Source organism: Homo sapiens, chromosome 7 (assembly GCF_000001405.40).
Source record: "Homo sapiens chromosome 7, GRCh38.p14 Primary Assembly".
Taxonomy (NCBI): domain Eukaryota; kingdom Metazoa; phylum Chordata; class Mammalia; order Primates; family Hominidae; genus Homo; species Homo sapiens.
The window spans coordinates 21,474,253-21,498,782 of NC_000007.14; the positions used below are offsets into that span (position 1 = coordinate 21,474,253).

The 24,530-nt window shown below is 35.7% G+C and overlaps 1 protein-coding gene across 7 annotated transcripts in view, besides 1 other annotated feature; it reads left to right on the forward strand.

The window, feature by feature from the left end:
• The window catches only part of SP4 (Sp4 transcription factor), an 86,740-nt gene that overhangs the window by 46,170 nt on the left and 16,040 nt on the right, over nucleotides 1-24,530 (forward strand). For 3 of the 7 annotated variants that reach the window (NM_003112.5, NM_001326543.2, NM_001326542.2), the window contains exons 4-5: nucleotides 2,827-3,055; nucleotides 7,672-7,871. In NM_003112.5, the coding sequence (NP_003103.2) occupies nucleotides 2,827-3,055; nucleotides 7,672-7,871 (429 nt within the window). Of the gene's footprint in view, nucleotides 1-2,826; nucleotides 3,056-7,249; nucleotides 7,873-8,172; nucleotides 8,307-8,358; nucleotides 23,561-24,530 lie in introns of those variants that run through there. The other 4 variants (XM_005249829.5, XM_011515486.3, XM_017012557.2 and 1 more) reach the window with 4 other exon arrangements.
• Nucleotides 6,286-6,909: an enhancer, noted in NCBI's record as "OCT4-NANOG hESC enhancer chr7:21520156-21520779 (GRCh37/hg19 assembly coordinates)". NCBI's record gives its function as "activates a minimal SCP1, AML or CMV promoter by ChIP-STARR-seq in primed H9 embryonic stem cells {active_cell/tissue: H9 hESC(primed)}" and the evidence as "EXISTENCE:reporter gene assay evidence [ECO:0000049][PMID:30033119]".

A 24,530-nucleotide genomic window follows, 5' to 3' on the forward strand; every position in this document is an offset into this window, starting at 1 on the left:
CGACCTTTAAAGTAATGACTGTTATATAAATGTTATGAGAAAAGTAGTCAGAGAATCACGGCCAAAAATACCTGTGTCTTCAGGGGATGTAAAGGGTACTTACCAACTTAAAATACCTGCAGCTCCATAGGGACCATGCTGTAGATTTTGTATAGTGCTTGTTCAGACAGTACTCTCATTTCTAGAAATGCATTTTTTGCAGTAAACAAAGTGTGTGTATCACTGTGCTTCTTGGTACACAAGTAGTTTGAATAGATTTTGTAGCCAAGGTCATCCTTAAGCCATCTAGTTTTACTGAATACATGTTCAAAAACACTGAAACAAAATAATTATACCTTTTGTTTATGTATTGCTTTATAATTTATATAGCCTTTACCCCTGGAAAATCAACTTGATCCTCAGGAACAGCTCTTTAAAGTAGATAGGGAGCAGAAATTTTATGGAAGTCAGTGTTACTATTTTAGAGTTGAGGAAACTGAGGATCTCTGAGTGCACAGTCATAAATTTACAACTCTCACTTCACTTGCATTGCTTTACTTACCACACCATGCTAATTCAAAGGTGTACAAAAATGTAAATTTTAGTAGAGGGTTTGTATCCTTACTAAAACAGTGACAAAATAAATTTTTTAATGTGCATGTTAGTTATGGGTGCTACCAGAAGGATTAACGGTGCTGTGGATACGCAGAGGAGAGTGAGATTGACTTTGGCTGGGAGAGTCAGAGGTTTAATTTTGTTTAGAAAATGTGTACTGTTTTCTTACTTGGTACTTTTTATTGCCTCTTCTTGGTTGCCCCATACATTTAAGGTACTACATGTGCAGCTTTGAAATAACCTCCCCCACCCTTTTTTTGTTTTTTGTTTTTTGTTTTTTTTTTTGAGACAGAGTCTCACTCTTGACGCCCAGGCTGGAGTGCAGTGGCACAATTTCGGCTCACTGAAACCTCTGCCTCCCGGGTTCAAGCGATTCTGCTGCCTCAGCTTCCCAAGTAGCTGGGACTACAGGTGTGTGCTACCACACCTGGCTAATTTTTTGTATTTTTAATAGAGATGGGGTTTCACCGTGTTAGCTAGGATGGTCTCCATCTCCTGACCTCGTGTTCCACCTGCCTCAGCCTCCAAAAGTGCTGGGATTACAGGCCTGAGCCACCACGCCTGGCCTGAAAGAAACCCTTTTATTTTGTATGCAGGACCGGTATGTTTGTTTCTGCTAGCATATTTTATTGTTATTTTGAGACAGAGTCTCGCTCTGTCGCCCAGGCTGCACAGTCTCAGCTCACTGCAAGCTCTGCCTCCCAGGTTCATGCCATTCTCCTTCCTAAGCCTCCTGAGTAGCGAGTAGCTGGGACTACAGGCGCCCGCCACCACGCCCGGCTAATTTTTTGTATTTTTAGTAGAGGCTGGGTTTCACCATGTTAGCCAGGATGGTCTCGATCTCCTGACCTTGTGATCTGACATCTCAGCCTCCCAAAGTGACATATTTTATTCTTGTATTGCCACTGAACTCAGCAGAGATGAATTGGTAACAGTAGCTACCATGTAATGAGCAATTCCGTGCCAGCACTCTGGTAGAGGATTTGTAAATTTACTTAATACTTACATCAACTTTCTGAGGTAGAAACATTCTTTCATAAATTGGTATTTTCTTTTCAGTCCATTCACATACTTGTTATTCCCACACCTGATGGAGAGAATGTAGAACTGTGTGAAAGAAAAGATAATTATAAGGCATTGTAGGCCGGGCACGGTGGCTCACACCTGTAATTCCAGCACTTTGGGAGGCCAAAGCAGGTGAATCACCTGAGGTCAGGAGTTTGAGACCAGCCTGGCAAACATGGCAAAACCCTGTCTCTACTAAAAATACAAAAAAAATTAGCTGGGCATGGTGGCACACGCCTGTCATCCCAGCTACTAGGGAGGCTGAAGAAGAAGAATTGCTTGAACCCAGGAGGTGGAGGTTGCAGTGAGCCGAGATCGTGCTACTGCACTCCAGCCTGGGCGACAGAGCAAGACTCCATCTCAAAAAAAAAAAAAAAAAAAAAAAGCATTGTATTTCAGGATAATGTTAAGCCATGCCAATAGATTTTTTTATTGTTGTTTTATTGTGCATTATTTATTATATTTTTCCCAAAGTGAAGAAGCCAAGCTGGTATATATACTAATCTGAGTGATGAAGTCTAAGCTATATAACATGAATGAATAAAGTAATAATATCTTAAATGTCTTTTTATGATTACAGTGACAGTATGTAGTAATCTTGGGTGGTTTTGCATTTCAAAAACCACTTTATGTATACACTAAAAAAAGTCGAATCAATAAAGAGATGTTTATTTAAACTATTTAGGAATGCAAGATGTCCATAAAACTTAATCCTTTGTTTAGTGACTTTTCACTCCTGTATTTTCTTGTTATGATAAGATATGTTGCTTACCGTGGAAATGGTAATAAAGCTTTGTGTTTATATAACATCTTTTAGGATCTCAAAATGCTTTTAGACTATCTCATGTATCCTCATAGTATTTTAGTGAGTAGGTAAGTGGCAAGTATTATCTTCATTTTACAGATGGAGAGAGAAATTAAGCCACAAAGTGAGTTAAATGATGTATGTATATAGTTCCGTTATCTAGATACATAGGCAACCTGAGCCACTAAAGTAAGAATACTATATTTTAGAAGGATTGACATAGTATAAGCCATTAACCCCTTAGTTTTTGTACTTTACACAGATTGTTAGAAAAAATTTATTATGCACATAGATTTTTTTTTTTAATCCTTTCTTTAGGTGTAGAAAACATTACAATACTTCTTTTTTTTCTTCCTTTTTAGGTCAGCAGCAAGGACAAGATGGAGTAAAAGTCCAGCAAGCTACTATAGCTCCTGTAACTGTAGCAGTTGGAGGAATTGCTAATGCCACGATAGGTGCTGTTAGTCCTGACCAACTCACACAAGTGCATTTGCAGCAAGGCCAGCAGACTTCTGATCAAGAGGTACAACCTGGCAAGAGGCTTCGAAGAGTTGCCTGTTCCTGTCCTAATTGTAGGGAAGGAGAAGGAAGGTAAATGCTGTATTTTTCAACTGTGTCTATTTGGAAGGCATAAAACAGCAGTTAAAACCAAGTAATTGGCTGGGAATGATGGTCACTAGAACTTCATTACCTTTGTAGCCTAGAAGTTGATATATAATATTAGAAAGGGAATTAAGTTGGGCTATTTTAGGAATGAAATTTGAGCGGTCCTCCGCCTTGTTCCTTACACTTTTAAAAAATATTTTTTCTTTCTTCCCCACCCCTCCCCCACCCCAACAAGATGGAGTGTCACTCTGCTGCCTAGGCTGGAGTGCAGTGGTGCAATCTCAGCTCACTGCAATCTCTGCCTCCCGGGTTCAAGCGATTCTCCTGCCTCAGCCTTCCGAGTAGCTGGGATTAAGTACAGGTGCCCGCCACCACACCCGGCTAGTTTTTGTATTTTTAGTAGAGGCGGGGTTTCACCATGTGGGCCAGGCTGGTCTCGAACTCCTGACCTCAGGTGATCCACCCACCTCAGCCCCCCAAGTGCTGGGATTACAGGTGTGAGCCCCCTCGCCCAGCCCATTTTTTTTCTTTTTCATAAAATATTTACGTAACTTTATTGATATAAAACTCATTCGTACACCATACAGTTCACGAATTTAAAGTGTACAATTCAGTGGTTTTTAATATATTCAGAGCTGTGTAGACATGACTACAATCAATTTTAGAGTGTTTTCATCATCCCCAGAATAAATTCTGTATCTTTTTTAAGCATCACCCCCTTATCCCAATCCTTCCATCCTAGACAACTAATTTCTGTCTTTATAGATTTGCCTTTTCTGGACAATTCATATAAATGGAATCATGGTCTTTTGTGACTGGTTTCTTTTAGCATAATGTTTTCAAGGTTCAACCATATTACAGTATGATCAATACTTCATTCCTTTTTAGGGACAAATAATATTCCACTCTATGGATATACAATATTTTTGTTTATCCTGTCAATTGAAGGACATTTGGTTTTATCCACCCACTGGCCGTTATGAATAATACTGCAGTAAACATTTGTGTAGAACTGTTTGTGTGGGCATATGTTTTCATTTCTCTTGTATTTATATGAAATTACCTAGAAATGGATTTTTGGGTCATATTGTAATTCTATGTTTAACCATTTGAGGAACTTACCGACTGTTTTCCAAAGTGGCTGTACCATTTAACATTTCCATCAATAGGGTATGAAGGTTCCAGTCTCTCTAGATCATTGCCAGTACTTGTCATTATCTGACTTTATGATTAAAGCTATCCTAGTGAAGTCATATGTCACTGCAGTTTTGTTTTTACTGATACTAATGATATTGAGCATCTTTTCTTGTTCTTATTGGCCATGTTTGTATCTTTGGAGAAATGTTTATTTGGATCTTTTGCCCATTTTAAATTATATTATTTATTTTTCATTATGGAATTGTCTCTTTATATATTCTACATACAAATTCCTTATCAGATATACAATTTGAAAATATTGTCTCCTGGCTGGGCGCAGTGGCTCACGCCTGTAATCCCAGCACTTCGGGAGGCCAAGGCAGGTGGATCACCTGAGGTCAGGAGTTCAAGACCAGCCTGACCGGCATGGAGAAACCTTGTCTCACTGAAAATACAAAATTAGCCAAGCATGGTAGCGCATGCTTGTAATCCCAGCAACTCGGGAGGCTGAGGGAGGAGAATTGCTTGAACCCAGGAGGCGGAGGTTGCAGTGAGCCGAGATCGCGCCACTGCACTCCAGCCTGGGTGAAAGAGCGAAACTCCATCTCAAAAAAAAAAAAAGAAAGAAAAAAGAAAAATATTGTCTCCCATTGTGTGAATTGTCTGTATACTTTCTTGATAGTGCCTTTGCACCAAAGTTTTAATTTTGAAGTCTAGAGTTTTCTATTTTCCTTTATTGCTTCTGCTTTTGGTATTGTATCTAAGAATTCATTGCCAAATCCGAAGTCATTAAGATTCCTAGTTGTTTTTTTTTTTTAAGATAATTTTATAGTTTTTACTCTTACATTTAGGTCTGTGATTAATTTGGGGTTAATTTTTACGTATGGTGTTAGGTAAGGGTTCATCAAGCACCAGTTGTTGAAAAGACTGTCCTTTCTCCGTTGAATGTTCTTGGCACCCATGTCAAAAATTAGTTGACCATAGAACATGGATTTATTTCTGGACTTTCAGTTGTATTCCATTGATCTATATGACTATCTTTATGTCAGTACCACACTATCTTGAGTACTTTGGATTTGTAATAACTTTTGAAATCGAGAAATGTGAGTCCTGCAGCTTTGTTATTCTTCAAAATTGTACTGACTCTTTCGGGACACTTGCAATTCCATGTGAATTTTAGAATCAGTTTGTCAGTTTCTATAAAGAAACCAGATGGTATTCTGATGGAAATTGCATTGAATCTGTAGATCACTTTGGGGACGGTTGCCAGCTTAACAATATTACATCTTTTGGTCTATGCACATGGGAAGTATTTCTGGTTGTTTAATCTTTAACTTCTTTCATCAATGTTTTATAGTTTTCAGAGTATACATTTTGTACTTTTGTTAAATTCCAATTTTATTTCTGATGCTATTATAAGTTGAACTGTTTTCTTGATTGTTCAAGTATGTAGAAATACATTTTTTAATGTATTAATCTTTTATCCTGCAACTTTTGCTGAACTTTTTGATTAGTTATAACAGTTTTTTTGTTTGTTTGTTTGTTTGTTTGTTTAGTAGAGTCTTTAGGATTTCTGTGTATAAGGTCATGGAATCTGTGAACAGAGATAGTTTTTACTTTTTCCTTTCTACTCTGCAGGAGTTCTGTTTCTTTTTCTTGCTTAGTTTCTCTGTCTGGAACCTCTGGTACAATGTTGACAGTGTGCTTGTATTTTGTTGAGGATTTTTGCATCCATATTCATAAGAGAGATGTCTGTGGTTTTCTTTTTGTATTGTTTTTATCTGATTTTGGTAATGATAATACTGGCTTCATAGAATGAATTGGAAAGTATTCCCTCCAAACTGGTATTAATTCTTTAAATGTTTTGTGGAATTTACCAGTGAAGCTGTCTGTTCTTGGGCTTTTCTTATGGGTAGTTTTAATTACGAATTCAGTCTAGTTGCTTGTTGTAGGTGTATTCTGATTGATTATTTGTTCTTGAGTCAGTTTTAGTATTTTGGTCCGTATTTTTCTAGGAATTTGTCCATCTCCTCTGAGTTACCCAAGTAATTGCCGTAGAATTGTTCATGGTATTCCTTTGTAATCCTTTTTGTTTCTATAAGGTTGGTAGTGATATCTCCTCTTTGATTTCTGATTCTAATAATTTGAGTCCTACTTTCTTGGTCAGTCTAGCTAAAAGTTTGTTAGTTTTGTTTACTTTTCCCAAGAATCTCAATATTTGACATTTTTTCTGACCCTAAGAAGGTTCTTCACAGCCTCTTTGCTCACTTCTTTCTGGCAAACTAGCCAACCTGTAGTTAAGCCTTTATTTCCAGTGAATCTCTTAGTCTTCTCCCAATTAACTGCCTTTTGAAACCATCTCTACTTTTTTTGAGAGTACCCTTAGGCTTGAACTTCTTCACATTGTCTTGCAAATGAAGTCAATTCCTTTGGGAAGAGATTTGGAGCTCTTTGTTTTATGGTGTGTTTCTGACTTATGGCTTTTGAACCGGGGGTTGAGACAGTGGCTTTCTTTCTGAGTTACAACCCTGCTTTAAGAGCTGAGTGCCTGGTTGCTGGGGCAGCAATAGCCTCAGGTCTTCTCAACTGGCCTCTCCTGGCTTAGAACTTTGACTTTATGAACTATGAATGGGCCAGGTCAAGGGCAACCTGGACCCCAGTATTTTCATCATGCCACATCCAAGGTAGAGTCTATGTCCCAGGGCTAAGGACTTGGTTCTGCTACACTTGCCTGGAACTTAGCAACAGGCAACCAGGGGTAAGATAAGAAATGCAGACATCTTGCCCCTCCTGGGGCCATACTCCTCTGACCGGGAGGTGGGAAGAGTAGGAATCATATTCTTAGCTGCACCAGTCTCTAATGTTCCTGTGTGGAAACGGGAGGAAGTAGGGAAGGGGAGAGTCTTGGTTCAAATACCACAGACTCTTACTGTTCTTACCAATTTCTGTGAGATTTTCTTGAATAAATGTTTCTTTATTTGCTGTTATTTGCTTTTAGAACCATTTCCAGAGACTTTAAATGGTATTTTTTGCTTTTTTTAGAATTTTCACTGGGAAACAGATCCATGGAACTCCTCACACTGCCCTGCTAGAAACGAAACTCTGCATCTTACACTTTTAACTGGATTTAGCCATCCTTTTGAAATTTTAGAGAAGTTTCAAGTGTTTTGAAAGGCTTAGAGAGATTTTTTTCCCAAGGGAAGAGCCCACTATGACCAGGAACGTGAGTCCATAATAGAGCATAAACTCTTTGAGATTAACACATTTTCATAGCAATTTGGTACACAGACCTGTTTTATTTTGTCTTTAACTGAAAATTTTCTGATTTGAACTACAGTTATGGCATCATGATCAAACCTATTCAGAGAAGCATCATTTAATTACCTTGATTCTTTTTAATTTTTCTATAATTGTAAACCTACTATTTGGCAGTGTAATTAATGTTCGGTTTTTGTTTTTGCTAGAGGCAGTAATGAACCAGGAAAAAAGAAGCAGCATATCTGTCATATTGAAGGATGTGGTAAAGTTTATGGCAAAACATCTCATTTACGAGCACATCTTCGCTGGCATACTGGAGAAAGACCTTTTATATGCAACTGGATGTTTTGTGGCAAAAGATTCACACGGAGTGATGAGCTCCAGAGACATAGAAGAACCCATACAGGTTAGTTGATTTTAGGACTTGTACTTTTTACTTATTTCTTCAGTTTTTACATGAAAATTTTAGTGATAGTTTAGCTATCAAATTGGAAATATGCAAATGAAGGAGAAGGCATTTACTTTAGCAATTATATGGAAGATGTTTAAGATGAACATTTTTAACCTCATTTCTGAGATACATTTTATTCTACTTTTTGTAAACTTTATCAGCATATTTATGAGACAAGTGGAATTTATTCCATTTGTTTATATTGTAATCTTAGCATGTTGAAATCATACATTGTTTTTCATAAGTGTTTAAATAGGTGAAAAGAGAGTTGAATTATCATCTTAATGGGGACTTTCATTAGTGTGTTTTAGTTTTTTTTTTTCTTAACAAATCCAGAAAATTCACCAAAGTATCAAGAATAATTAAATAATAAACATCTAACAACCCTCAGTCAGAATGGTCAGTTGTTAATATTATATTTTCTGCTTTTTTTCAAATACAGCAAAGCAGTTATAAAGTGAACATCATGTTTACCCTTTCACCTTTCAAAGACTGCAGCTGCTATAAATCTAATGTGTCTAAGTTTTACGTACACTTTTAATACTCTGACATATATGATTAATGGATCTACATAAAAAATGTTTTGTGTGTGTTATGAAATGTTACAATGTTGCAGAATTATAAATTTCACTTGTTTTGAGATCTGTTTGTACATATATGTATATTTGCATATATGAATTTCCTTGAACTGCTATATAATATTTTATCACATGAGTCTACCACACTATATTAATTCATTCCCATACTGTTTGAGGTTATTGCTAGGGTTTGTGTGTGCTATCACAAACTTAGTTGATGAGAACATGTGTGAGAAGTGGAATTATTGGATCATAGAGAATGTGTATGTTTGGTTTTGCTAGGTAATGGCTAAAGAGTCTCTACAGTGGCTATTTAACTAGCAGTGATTGATAGTTTCCACTTTGTGCTCACCAGTACCCAGTAGTGTCAGGCCTTGAAAGTTTTTTTCAATCTAAAATTGTTTCTTATTTTAAAAATTTGTGTTTTTCATGGTTATCCATGAGATTAAGCACCTTTCATATGTATATTAGTCATTTATGGCTTTGTTTTTTAATTCTGGTTCTCATTTTTTCTTTCAGAAGTTTTCCTTATTTATATGATTTATATGTTATACTTTTCCCTTTCAATAAAGGACTAGTGCTAGTCTTTTATCTTTGTCATACCTTTTGTCATATGGAAGTCTTACATTTTTATTTAGTCAAATATAAATCTTTTCTTTTGTCTTTTGCTTTTTGTTTATAAATTTTTCTTCTGTCCCAAGGTCATAAAGTCTCAAAAAACAATTTCTTCTAATAGCTTTAAAGTTTTATTTTTGTAAGTTTGATCTTTTATTCGCTCAAGATTCTTTTTGTTGATGGAATGAAATGAGAATACAATTTTATTTTTCTTTCATATGGAAAGCCCTTTCTTAAACAGCCCATTCTGTCTCTATTGATTGTCCTCTTTTACATAATGTCTCCTTTAAGTGTGGTTCAATTTCTGGTTTCTCTGTTTTGAAGTTTTTATCTATTTGCCAGTTCCTACACCAATGCTCTTACTATATTAATGACTGTGGTTTTATATTAAGCCTTGACTTCTTTTTGGGCAATTTTCCTTCTTTCTTTATTTTTTTTTCTTTTTTTGCCCAGAACACCTACCCTTTTCAGAATATTTAGAATTTGGGACTCAGTATTTCATTATTGAATAAATTAATTTCAATAAATTATTGAATTATACTTTATACTTTAAACCTGTACCAAGATACATGTGGGACAAAGGGAGAAATAAAACTGACATTTCTAAATCAGCTGCTATATTATAGTCAGATATTTTGAATATATTACTTCATTTGATTCTAACAACAGCAACACCGGCATAGAAATTAGCTCCATTTTAAGATTAGAAAGTAGTATCAGAAAAGAAAAAATTATGAAATCTATTAAAAATGGTAAATATAAAGTTATTTAATTTGATATACACATAAAGTAGTAATACAAATGAGTACAGATTGAGTACCCCTTGTCTGAAATGCTTGGGACTAGAAATGTTCTAGATTTCGGATTTTTTCAGATTTTGCATGTGCACAATGCAATACTTCGGGGATTCATTTTTGTTTCATATATACCTTATACATAAAGACTGAAGGTAATCTTATACAATATTTTTAATAATTTTATGTGTGAAAGTTTGTGTTAAGTACTTATGTGTGGAATTTTCTACTTGTGGGATCGTGTCAACACTCAAAAAGTTTCAGATTTTGGAGCAATTTGGATTTTAGATTTTTGTATTAGGGATGCTCACCCTGTGTTAGTATAGCGTCGCAATCCCTGAAAAAGTTAGCATTATAGTAAAGCTCTGAATTTTAATTTTAAAAAAGATAATTTGAAATCTTTCTGTATAGTATATACACCATTGACGTTGGCAAATATGATTGATTAAAAGTTAATTCCATACCAGTTGTTGATATCTGTTTTAGAAAAATACTCTGCTATTTAGGTCTGCATGAAAGGATGCAGTGTTTCCATCCTGGATTAGCAGTGGGATAAATTAGGGAAGCCAAGAAAATTTTCTACTTTGTTTGATTTGGAACCTCACATTATGATTGCTTCATTTTGTCTAAGAAATGATGAGTTGGTAAAGTCCCTCTCTCTTACACATCCACACACTTGCAGATACACAAAACAAATTTATTTAAGAATTTATATATACATATACTTCAAAACCAAATATTATGATTTGGGGCATATCTTTAAAAAAAAGATTCACACCATTATTATCTACTGGATTGACAATTCATAATCCAATATACTTTAAGCTTACTTTCAGTGGTTCAAACATCTTAAATATATCACACATAAAATTGTTTAATTAAAACAGGTTGACACTAAAAAATATTAATATCAGTATACTTAAAATTGTTACTTTTAAAGATTTAACAGAGTAACTCCTGTTTGTTAAATTTGTCTAAAAGAATATGAAAAAATATATTTTGAAATAAGTATTGATTAAGCATTTAATATGTTAAGTTGAAAGCCTTAACCATTCGTAGCAACAACTATGCTTTATTTGATGTCTAACCACTACTACAAATAGAAACTTATTGACTTGGCTATGAATGAATGGAGTTATTTGTATTCACTGCTGAAAATAGTGATCTGTTTGCTTTTTAAAAAAATTTGTAAAGGTTTTCAAAACAATATATGCATATGGTATTTAAAAATGAAATCACAGAAAAGTTTACTGTAATAAGGAGGCTCTTTGCCCCACCCCATCCTGCTTTCCAGAGAATATCATAGCTAACTATTTTAACTATTTTTGCATTTTTGTTCTTTCTAGGATGACTGTCATGTATCTAAATCATATACTTAAACACTGTTATTTATTGATCTATCAATATTTTATACTATCTATTGAGTTCTTGCATTTAGAATTAAGGATTTACTTCACTTTGCACCATCTGAAGACATTAAGATTCTTTTGAAAAACTGTATGCAGGCCAGGCATTCTCTCTTAACTCACCACTCTATTTCCAATAAAGTTAGACAATGCCTTTTCTTTTTTCTTGTATTGTTTGACTTTACCTGAAATAATCTTTAGTTATTTCAAGTTTTTAAGAACAATGTGAATTCCAGTCACATTTTCCTTTTTTCTGGAGCCTTCCATCTTTCTAATGAACATGAACAGTTTCTTCTGTAGACCTGTTCCAGGGGTATTATCTTGAGATTTCTTCCCTTCTCTGTTCGTTTTAGATCTCATATTGGTTCTCAAGATCTCGTGTTTTCATTTTTCTTGGTCTACTCTCTTCGTTGCTGGAAAACGTGCTGAAATGCTTCCTAACGAAAAGCTTGGGGAAATAAATTTGTCTAAAGGATTCTTTATTTTCTCTTTCTGCTTAATTTGGTTGTTTGGCTAATACAGTATTCTAGATTGAAAATTACATTCTCTTAAAACATTGTCACAGCTCTATTTTCTTTCATCTGTTTTATCAACAAGAGGTTTGTTATTTTTTCTTGTTTTTTTTTTCTGTAGGTGACCTGATTTCTTCCCTGCAGCTTTATTTTTATTTTGAAATAATTTTATACTTAGAGAAGAGTTGCAAAGCTAGCATAGAGTTCGCATATCATTCACCAAGCTTCCCTTATTGTAAACTTCTTGTATAACCACAGTACCTTATGAGAATTAAGAAATTAACATTGTTGCAATACTATTAATTACACTTTCCACCAATATACCTTTTCTTTTCCAGGATTCAGTCTGGAATAACACACTGCATTTGTTTGTCATGTTTCCTTAGTCTCCTGCAATCTGTGACTTTTCCTAGTCCTTTCCTTGTCTTTTATCACCTGGACACATTTGAAAGTGGTTTTGGTATTTTTAGAATGTCTGTCACATTGGGTTTGTCTAATGTTTTCTAATGATTAGAGTAAGATTGTGAATTGTCATGAGAAGAATAGCACATTAGTGTCTTTCTCTTATCATATAAGAGGAAGTATGTAATGTGATTATCTCATTATTGGTGATGTTAACCCTGATGTATTGGTTAATGTAGGGTGTGCCACATTTCTTCACTGTAAAGTTACAGTTTCTCTCTTTCCATATTGTTTGTTAGAAGCAAGTCACTAAGTTCAGTCGACATTCAGGGGGAAGAGAACTAAGCTTCACCTCCTGAAGGGAGAAGTATCGAAGAATTTGTGGACATATGTTAAAACCACCACAATAATTACTATTTTAGAGGAGTTTGGGGGGCTTTTTTACAAATAAAATACTAAAGCTTCACTTTTAGCATTCCTCAGTGGATCTTGCCTGCAGCAGTTATTACTGTGATGTTTGAAAGGTCATTTTCAATTTTCCTTGTTCTTTGTACCACTTATACTTTCTTCTCCAATTATTTATGCAATCATTTATTTACATTGGTATGGTCTCATGAGTAGTTCTTTTGTTCTTTGGGTTATAATTCAATACTATCATTTTCTTGCTCAAATTGTTTCACCTTTGGCCATTGGAAGGTCTTTCACATTAGTTCCTGTGTCTTCTTGAAGTGCCCCTGTTTTGTTTTTAACGCTAAGGGCGCCTTTTAATCTGTGGTGTGCTGCTAATTTCATAATGCTGTATCTGAGAATAGATTTTTATTTGTTGTGCTAATGACTTGTACTCTGGGTCACCTCTCTCCCTCTCTCTCTCTTTCTCTGTCTCTCTCTCTCTGTCTCTCTGGGCTCTTAGTAGACATATTTTGGAATCTCTAGGGTTTTTTTTTTTTTTTTGGTCTTACAGTTTTTCTCTTATATCTTTTGTCTCATTACCATTTTATTTTCCATGAAATTTTTTAAGTTTACTTTCAGATATTTCTATTGAATTGCATTTTAATTTCCAATAGTGTATTCCATCATTGTTGGTGGGTTTTGTTTTGTTTTACTGCATTTTGTTCTCATTGTATGGATGCAGGTGCTTGCTGAAATTATCTCAGTTTTTTAATCTAGAATTTTATGTTTCCTCCAGGATGATTTTTTTGTCTGTATCTTTTTCCAGTGTTGTAGGCGTTCCTGAATTGTCCAGTGATTCTTTGTTTTTGTTCAAGTTGATGATGATGATGATGATGATGGTGGTGGTGGTGGTGGTGGTGGTGGTGGTGGTGGTCATGGTGGTGATTTGATGAAATCTTAAGTGAAAGATTTTGAAAACTTTATGAGCTAGTGGCGTTTTGTTTTGGTTTTTTTGAGACAGGGTCTCTGTCTGTCACCAGGCTGGAGTTCACTGGCACGATCACAGCTCACTGCAACCTCCTCCACCTCCCAGGCTCAAGTGATCCTCACACCTCAGCCTCCCGAGTAGCTGGGACCACAGGTGCATGCCACCACACCTGGCTAATTTTTCTATTTTTTGCAGAGACAGATTTTTCTCAGTGTTGCCCAGGCTGGTGTTGAACTCCTGAGCTCAAGCAATCCATCCTCCTCAGCCTCCTGGAGTGTTGGGATTATAGGTGTGAGCCACTGCCTCTGCCAAGCTAGTGGCTTTTATTTTAGGTAACTGGGTGGAACACTGTGTTACACTGGAAGATGCCTAATTACCAAAATACAATAATATGCTGTGCAACCATGTTTTTTTAAGATACAAATCTTTAATATTAACATTTTGCCCCAATTTTTTGATAGTAGTTATAGTCTATGTATGGACTTTAATTTTGTTTTATGTTCCATGTCTCCCTCCCAGCAGAAGACATTGACTGTCTTCTAGAACATATTCTCTTCCTTGACAATTTATTTTCTAGTTTGCAGACATTTGATATAATCATTGTTTTGCTGATGGACTTCCTTTCCTTTTTTTTTTTTTTTGTTATTGTAGATTTAACCCTTTTATGCCTTTACTATTATTTTAATGGGTGTCTCAGTGGGGAGAATAAACAAACACATGTAATCATGCTGCTCTCTTAAACTTTAAAGGGTTACATTTAGCCAGGTGCAGTAGTGCACACCTATAGTCCCAGCTACTCAGGAGGCTGAGGCGGGAGAACTGCTTGTGCTAGGAGTTCGAGGCTATAGTGCCTATGATCCCGTGAATAGCCACTGCACTCCAGCCTGGGCAATATAACAAGACCCCGTCTCTTAAAAAAAAAATACTGATAACTTGGAAATACTATAATGATACAACTAAATGGATAATGTCTATAATAACGATGTCATATAGATATGCACACTTTTATGTTACATGTGTTAATATAGTGTACTTTGTGAATATTTTATTGTAGATACTTTGCCTACTTACTGGACTGTTTTATTTGCCATTCATAATCCACTTAGAAGTAAGGCAATCTAGGGATGATTTTTAGCAACTAGTGTTATAGGGATCTTTAACCAGATCTCAAATTCTTTTTCACCAGCTAAGAAAAAATCCTTTTCAAAAGAGCCCCTAAAAAGTCTTGTGCAACTGCAGTATAGGTTCTTTATAATATATGACGACTTAGTGTTTTAGCCAAGATACAATTTTATATAAAGTTAAATGTATTTATAATTGTATCAATAATTATAAGCTTAAGTGGAAATGAAACAGATTCTGTAAAATTCATTTGGGAATGAAACTTCAATTTTTTTAACAAAATAAGGAATATTTGATCAAAACAGATGAAACAGAAAACTCCATCAATTTCGTTGAAGTTTTCTCACAGAATTTTGTTGTTGTTGTTGTTGCTGAGACCATGTCACCCAGGCCAGAACGCAGTGATGTGATCATAGCTCACGGCAGCCTTGACCTCCTGGGCTCAAGCAGTCCTCCCACCTCAGCTGCCTGAGTAGCTGGGACTTGCAGGCCTACACCACTACACCTAGCTAATTTTTTTTTTTTTTTAAAGGTGGGTTTTTGCTATGTTGCCCAGGCTGGTCTTTTTTTCTTTTTTCTTTTTTTTTTTTTTTTTTTTTTTTGAGATGGAGTCTCGCTCTGTCACCCAGGCTGGAGTGCAGTGGCATGATCTTGGCTCACTGCAAGCTCCGCCTCCTGGGTTCATGCCATTCTCCTGCCTCAGCCTCCCGAGTAGCTGGGACTACAGGCGCCCGCCACCACACCCGGCTAATTTTTTGTATTTTTAGTAGAGATGGGGTTTCACTGTGTTAGCCAGGATGATCTCAATCTCCTGACCTTGGATCCACCCGCCTCGGCCTCCCAAAGTGCTGGGATTACAGGCGTGAGCCACTGTGCCCAGCCCCAGGCTGGCGTTAAACTCCTATCCTCAAGTGATCCTCCCACCTCAGCCTCTCAAAGTGCTGGGATTATAGGTGTGAGCCACAGTGCCCAGCCCCAGAATTTTCTTATATAAATGTTTTAATTAGTATGTGAAACATCAAAACTGTTGCCCTTTGTGTCCACTGTTGGCCAGAATGGACCAAGTTATCTACAACTTGTCTGTTCCATTGACTACACTAAAAACTCTGGACAAGTTTACTTATTTGTTTTCTTAAGTATCTAAATGAGGACAATGAAAAGCAAACTATAGCAGGCAATTGAGAAATGAAGTGAAAACTTGAATTTGAATAACAGTGTATCATATGTGTTCATTTCATAGAGATCTTTTTCCCTCCTTTGTCTCCCAGGTTTAACCCTGCGGGCACTGCATAGCAGGTGCAGGTAGCAAACAATCTAAGAGAAACCTCTTGTATCTAACCAGAAAAGCAAGAAAAGGGGCCTTTTGCTCCAAAACCAGTTCCATTTGCAGATTACACTGAAATAGTAGCAGCTTAGGCACCAAAAAATCTCTAGAAAATACCCATATCTCTGGCTAGGGGAACTAGAAAATAGAGTCTGTTTTCCAAGAAATCTGAGGTAAATCAACATCATTTTTCTGTCTTGCCACTTCTACTCTGAAGGTGGTCCCAGTCGTGGTGTAAGTGCAGAACATTATGGGAGCCCCCAGTAACTTGGCTTTTCTAGCCGGAGGAACTAGAAGGTGAGACAACTGGAGGTTGGAAAGGCATAGGGGAAATTTTGAGAGCGATATAAAAGATGCTTCCTAATTCTGTGTGTAGATCAAAAGAAGTCCTGGGTTCAACCTTGCACTGGGCTCAACCTTGAGCATTGCATGCACAGCACAGACACAAAGAACCACAGCAAAGGCCTCAAGAACTAAACATCTTAAAAACCACCATCCAATTCCCAGCATGTGCTGAGCAGAGACAAAAAGCATAACAAAGCCTTTGAAAAGTGAATTAATGTTGGAACTGCTGCTCAAAGAGGGCAAGATGGAACTTTTAGTCTGAACCTAAACGGGTTGAGTGCCTGCTAAAACAAAAACATTTTCCAGAGAATTTTTAACAGGGCCTAAAGTCTCTGCAATATAATGTCCAAAATGTCCGGGATACAGTCCAAAATTACTCAACATACTATGAGCCACGTAAAGCTGACTTTTTATTAAGAGAGAAGATAACAGATGTCAAGATGATCTAGATTTCGGAATTATCAGATAAGACCTTTAAAGCAGCTCTTATAGCCATGATCCATGGACTAAAGATAAGCGTGACTGAAATCAATGGAAAGGCAGAAGTTTTTAGCAGAGAAATCTGCTATAAAAACTATAAAAAAGAACTAAATAGAAATTTTAGATTTAGAAAAATACAATATTAAAAGTAAGTTTATCAGATGCTCAGTAGCTAAGTGGAGATAATAGAGGAAAGAGTCAGTGAGATTGAAGATAGACCACTGGAAATTATAAAATCTGAAGAATTGAAAGGAAGAAGATTGGGGAGTCAGAAAAAACTGGATTGCAGGGATCTGTGGGACAATAATAAAAGGTCTTAAATTTGTGTCATTGGTCTCCCAGAAGGAAAGGAAAAATACTGCTGTAAGACAAAATTTGAAGAAATAATGGCTGGGACTTCCCATGTTAGGTATAATAGGTTCAGGAAGTTCGTTGAATCCCAAGCAGAAACTAAAAGAAAACAATATCATATTGTAATCAATCTGCTGTAAATCAAAGATAAAAAATCTTGAAAGAAGCCAGAAGAGAAGGACACATTATATACCGGGGAACAAAAATTCAAATTATGGCGGATTTCTTCTTAGAAACTATGGAGGACAGAGAAAGAAAAGAACTATCAACTATCAACTCACCATTTTATGTCCAAGGAAAATATCCTCAAAACAGTATAGTAACAAGAGCAAAGTAAAGATACTTCCAAAGGAAAACTAAGAGAATTTGCTGCTATCAGATCTGCCTCAATAGAAATGCCAAGGAAGTTCTTCAAGGTAAAATTAATTATACCAGAGAGAAATTTGAAATTGAATAATGAAGGAAGGGCAAAAAATAAAAATAAATCGTCTTTTCTGTTTTCTCAGCCACTTGCCAAAAGAAATGCTAAATACCTGGGTAAATAGAGCAGACTGTTTTTCCTCTGCTGAAATTCTTTAACATATGTCTATTTACAGTTAAAAAAAATTAACATTGTCTTGTAGATAGTCATTGTATGTTGATGTAATACATATGGCCAATATAACAGAAAGGGAGGGTAAGGAAGCCAATAGTTAAAAAGCTGCTTTGTTTTACTCTGATAATATAGAAGTTGTTATATATATTTTGAAAAGTTAGATATATACCAACCACTACAGAGAGGGTGGGTGGAGATACTCCCCTAAATGTCTCCTATATATAGGACTGATAATTATTATAGACTTTAATAATTTTGTAAATTAAATGAGAATACTAAACAACATTCAAATATAGGTTGATAATCTCTAATTCACAGCGCTCCAAAATCTGAAACTTTTTCAGCACCAGCAGGACGCTCAAAAGAAATAGTCATTGGAGTGTGTTGTTTTTCAGTTTAGGATGCTCAGTCAGTATGTATTCTGCAAATATTCAAAAATCTGGGAAAAAAATCCAAAATCTGAAACACTTATAGGCCCAAGCATTTCAGATAAGGGATACTTGACTGTCATCTGAAAAAAATGGAGAAAAGGGAAAATAGAAGCATGAAAAACAGACAATTTAAAAACAGATGATAAAATGATAGACTTAAAATCTAATCAAATCAATCATTACACTAAATGCAAGTGGTATAAATTATACTAATCCAAAGGGAGATACTGTCCAATGACATTTTTTAAAAAGGATCCAGCTGTATACTCTGGATAAAGAGAGTATCTGAATAACACTCCACTTTAAAGAATATCCCAGCAGAATGTGTATTTTATTCAAGAGCACATGGAACATTCACAGAGGTAGACCATATTCTGGACCATGAAACACTCCTTAACAAATTTGAAATAAGAATCAGACTGGCATGGTGGCTCATGCCTGTAATCCCAGCACTTTGGGAGGCCAAGACAGGTGGATCACCTGAGATCAGGAGTTTGAGACCAGCCTGGCCAACATGGTGAAACCCCACCTCTACTAAAAATACAAAAATTAGCTAGGCATGGTGGCATGTGCCTGTAGTTCCAGCTAATTGGAAGGCTGAGACAGGAGAATTTCTGGAACCCTGGAGGTGGAGGTTGCGGTGAGCTGAGATTGCACCATTGCACTCCAGCCTGGACGACAGAGTGAGATTCCATGTGAAAAAAAAAAAAATCATACGAAGTATGTTCTCACATCATTAAGCTAGAAATCAAATAACAAAAATATCTAGGAAATCCCTAAATATCTAGAAATCAAACAACACATGGGCCAAGAAAAAGTTTCAAGGGAAATTAGAAAATATTTCCAATTAAATGAAAATACACCATAAAATTTGTGGGATGCAGGTAAAGCAGTGCTTAGAGGAAATTCGTAGCATTAAATGCTTTTACTGGTAAAAAAAGAAAGGTCCTCAGTCAATAGTCTAAACTTCCACCTTAGGAAACTACAAAATGAAGAGCCAATTAAATTCAAAATAAGAAGTTGGGAAATAATAAAGAGTAGAAATAAAAAGAATGCTATGCATAACTCTACAACCTAAATTTGAGGACTTAGATAAAATGGAACAACTCCTTGAAAGATACAAGCTACCAACACTGGCTCAAGAAGAGATAGATAGCATGAATGCTCCTATATCTGTTAAAGAAATTGGATTTGTAATTTTAAACTTTTGACAAAAGAAAACTCTGGGCCCGTATGGTTTCATTGACAAATTCTACCATTTAAGGAATAAATAATACCAAATTCTACAATTTCTTTCAGAAAATAAGGAACACTTCTCAACTTATTCTATGAGGCTCACATTATCATGATACCAAAGAAAAAAACTTAGACCAATATCGTAAGTATAGTTGTCAAAATTTTCAACAAAATACTAGCAAATCCAGCAATATATAAAAAGGATAATGCATTGTTACGTAGTACAGTTTATTCCAAGAATGAAAAGCTGTTTGAATATTTGAAAAAGTCAATGTAATTCACTAATAATGACAAAAGAAAAAAAATCACATGACAGCAAACACACAATAAATATTTGGCAAAATTCTGCATATATTTCTGTAAAAATTCTCAGCAAACTGAGTTGAAGGAAACATCATTAACTGGGTAAAGGGCATTTGCTAGAAATCTGCAGTTAACATCATTCTTAATGATGAAGGACCTTTTGCTTCCCTGTGGAATCAGGAACAAGGTAAAGACATCTGATTTTACCATTCTTATTCACCATAGTACTGGAATTTCTACCCAGTGCAGTAAAGCAGGAAAATGTCATAAAAGACATACAGATTCTAATAGAAGAAATAAAACTATCTTTATTTGCAGACACCAGGTTGTCTGTATAGCAAATCCGTGGTGCCTACCAAAAAGCTTTTTGAACTAGTGAGTTTGGCAAGGTTGCCAGATACAGGATAAATGTACAACAGTGAATTGTATTTCTACATCCTAGCAGTGAATAACGGGATATAAGTAGTTTATAAAAAGAGTGCCATTTGTAATATGATGAAAACAGTGAAACATTTTGCCATAAATCTAACAAAATATATGCAAGACATGTAAGCTAAAAACTAAAACATTGATGAAAGAATGCAATGAAGAACTACATTAATGCAGAGATACACATTGTATTCAAGGATTGGATGGCCCAATATTGTTTCCATGTAATTTCTCCCCAAACATATCTGCAGATTCAGTATAATCCTTCTCATAATTCCAGCAGCATTTTTATAGATAACAAGCTGATTCTAAAATTATATGAAAGGCAAAGCAATTAGAATAGCCAAAACAGTTTCAAAAATAACATAATTGGCTGATTTACACTGCATAATTTTAGGTGTTCCTGTAAAGCTACACTAATCAACACTGTGTAGTTTTGAAGGACACATGGATAAGTAAGACAGAATATAGAGTCCAGAAATTCCCCTCCACACACAGGGTGCAAAAACAGTTCAGTAAAGAAAAAGTAGCGTTTTCAATAAATTGTATAGAAGAATTAGCCATATGCAAAACCTTTAACCTACATATCTCAAGTCTTTTACAAAAACTAACTCCAAGTGATTCAGAGACTTAAATCCAAAACCTAAAACAACAAAGCTTTTTGAATAAAATATAGGACAAAATCTTTGCAGCCTTGAGATAGGCTACGAGTGCTTTAACACAACTCCGAAAGTGTAATCCATAAAAGAAAAAATCAGTAAATAGGACTTGATGAAAACTAAAAACTTTTGCTCTGTGATGGATCCTGTTAAGAGAATGAAAACTCTTAACAGATACAGATACAGACTGGGAGAAAGTGTTTGAAAATCACATACCTGACAAAGTGCTTTTATGCTGAACACCTTAAGAAGTTTTAAACTCAGTGTAAACAAATTTAACAGTTTTTTTTTTTTAAATGAGCAAAGGATTTGACACTTCACCAGAGAACATATGTATGTGACGGAAAAGTGCATGAAAAGATGTCTGATATCATCTATTAGGGAAATGGAAAATAAAACCATAATGCAATACTACTGTACACCTATTAGAATGGCTAAAATCAAAAGCAAGAACCATGAGAACATGGTAACTGCAAGTACTGGTGAGGATGCAGAGCAATTGGAATTCTCATATATTGCTGGTGGGAATGCAAAATGACACACTGCCTTTGGAAACTAGTTTGGCATTTTCTTATAAACATGCAATTACCATATGATCTAGCAAATCTACTTCTGAGTATTTACCCAAGAGAAGTAAGAACTGTGTTCACACAAAAAAAGCTGTGAGTGTGCATGTGTGTGTGTGTGGCAGATTTATTTATTTATTACTCAAAATTGGAAGTAACCCAAATGTCCTTCAGCTGGTGAATGGATAAAAATATCCATACATTGGAGTACTACTCCCCAACATAAAGGAATGAATTATTAATAAACAGCCACATGGATGAAACTCAGATGCATTATGCTAAGTGAAAGATTTCAGAATCAAAAGACTGCATAATATATGATATCATTTATGTGATATTCTGGAAAAATCAAAACTATAAGGACAGAGAACAGATTTGTGTTTTCTAGGGCATAAGCAAGGAGGAGGGAGAGTTCAACTACAAAGAGACACTACAAAGGAATTTTTGGAAGTGATAGCAACTCTTCTGTGTGTTTATTTTGGTGGCGATTATGTGACTGAATGCATTTGTCAAAACTCATAGAACTCTATACCAAAAAAATGAATTTTACTGTATATAAATTAAAACATAAATGTTAAAAAAGTGGAGACAAACTCATTTTGAGAGACTACAGTGTAAAAAGGGAGAGAGATTTACTATTTTATATTTTAAGAATTCAGAACAGTTTTCTGTTAAGCCTCATGTGCATGCCTCAGTATCAGGCAAACACTTCTGTTAACTCTGCCAAGGATAATAGGATTTAGAGCCAAAGGGACTCCTGAAAATTATTTTGTGCAACCCCATCATTTCATAAATAAGTAAACTGAAGGCTCAAGAGGCTAATTGTCTTCCAAGGCTCTAAATGTAGTTACTCTTGCTGCTTTCTAGATTTTCTCTTTGTCTTTGTCTTTCAGCAGTTTGATTATAATGTGACTCGATGTGACTCTCTGCATTTAACCTACTCGGAGTTCATTGAGCTTCTTGGATATGCAGATTATTATTTATTTATTTTTTTTTCAAATTGGGGAAGTTTTTACCTATTTTTCAAATATTCTTTCTTTAAACACCTTGGAACTAATGAGTCTCTCAGCCTGTGCTGAAAGGTTCTGTGTGCATGTTGCAGCTTGCCTTCAGCACTCAGCCAGTCATTTGACATCTCTGCCTTAGCCTTCACTTTCTGCTTACCTAGAGCCTCAGGATTAGGCACAGATTAGTTAGGGCCTTCTCATGCTATTCTGAGCAGGCTCACAGCACTAAACGTGTGTGACCTTCTAAACATGTATGACCTTCTAGATTCCTGTGTATATGTCACAGGTTTTTAAAGCTCTTCTGAATCTCTTAGCTCTCAGCTAGCTTTTCCTTTAAAGCCTTTTGGTTAGTCTATTGTTTGTCCCAATTATTATCCCCTGTCTTGGGCATCCATGAAGTTAAAATACTTGCTTCTAATTGTTTTAGACAAACACATGCCCTGCCTTACATCTGGGAGAAGGCATTTCTCATGGGGCTACTTCACAGAGTCAGATTAAATATGACAGTTTTATAAGTGGAGTCTTCAGGGAATGATTATTTGGGAATTAGGCTTTGAAAGAGCCTCAGCTGTGTTCCACCCCCTCTAGTGGCTGCCAGATGGTGCCAAGAATTCAGGCTGTTATTTTTCAAGGCTGCCACAGAGGTGGGGAGTGGAAAATGAGACTAGTAAGTTAAAATACTACAAAGCTTGCTGTTCTTACAGAAATTCAGCCATTTTTCTTGAATAAACACTTCCATGGATTGCTGCAAGCCTTGATTAATTGCCAGAATCTGAAATGGTTGCTTTTGACAGTTTTTTTCCCATAGGTTTTTGTTGCTTTTATGGAAGAGCAAAGTTTTGGAGGTTCTTCACCATGGTCAGTGACATCATTTCTTGGTTTTGCTCTTGCCCCCTCTTTCTTTCTGAAGCATCATAAGGATTAGAATGATCCTTGTGTTGATGAGTTCTCTTTGTGACATGTTGAATGATGCTGTCTGTGGCACATCCAGGAAATGTCTAATTCACAGCTGAGTTTCGGAATCTGGATCTTGATGTAGTCATCTATTTATAGATGATAGTTAAAACAAAGTGGATTAAATAGCCTAAATAAAGCATTTATAATGAAATAACCAAAGAGCTTCTATATTTGAGTTGATAATTGCTACAGGAAAAAATGAAAAATCACTCATTATGCAGATTGGTGTCCCTATAAATTCATGGTCTCAAATCTCAACCAGTTTCTCAGAACTGCCTATCAATCTTAGTCGTCTTTGTCAGTTTTCTCATTAACTTAATTATTATCTAAACCTCCTTAAGTCTTCTTATATCCCTTGTCACTCCCCTTCAACCTCGCCTTACTCTCAGTTTTCTACTTAAAGAAAATTAAAGCATGACTTCTCTCAAATTATCATCTTTCCCCCCTTATTACAACCAGCCCTCCTTATATGTGGATTCCTCATCCTCAGATTCAGCCAACTAGAGATTGAAAATTTTTGAAAAAATAAAAACTGTAAAAAATAATACAAATTAAAAATAATATAACAACTATTTATATTAGTCATAAAAGTAATCTAGAGATGATTTAAAGTATATGGGAGGATGTGTGTAGGTTATATGCAAATACTGTATGCACCATTTTATATAAGAGACTTGAGCATCAAATGATTTGGGGATCTACGGGGTCCTGGGACCAATCCTAGTGTATACCAAGGGCAACTATCTACTTTTACCCCCAGGTAAATGATACTGGAAAATGTAGGGTACTCATGAAAAGACTTTAGATATTCTAGGCCGCGTAGGTAAGAAAGAGTGTAGGAGGGACTGATAGACTGGGAGTAAGGTAGGGGTGTTTCAGGAACTACATGGCTCTCAGTTTGAATAACTTGAGTCCTTACATTCAAAAATGATTACAGTTAACCCTTGAACAACACAGAGGTGAGGCAAGTCAACCCTCAAGCATTTGAAAATTTGCGTGTAACTTTTGACTCCCCTAAAACTTAACTACTAATAGCCTGCTGTTGACTAGAAGCCTTAATGATCATAGTCAATTAACACGTATTTTGCATGTTATATGTATAATAAACCAGATTCTTAAAGTAA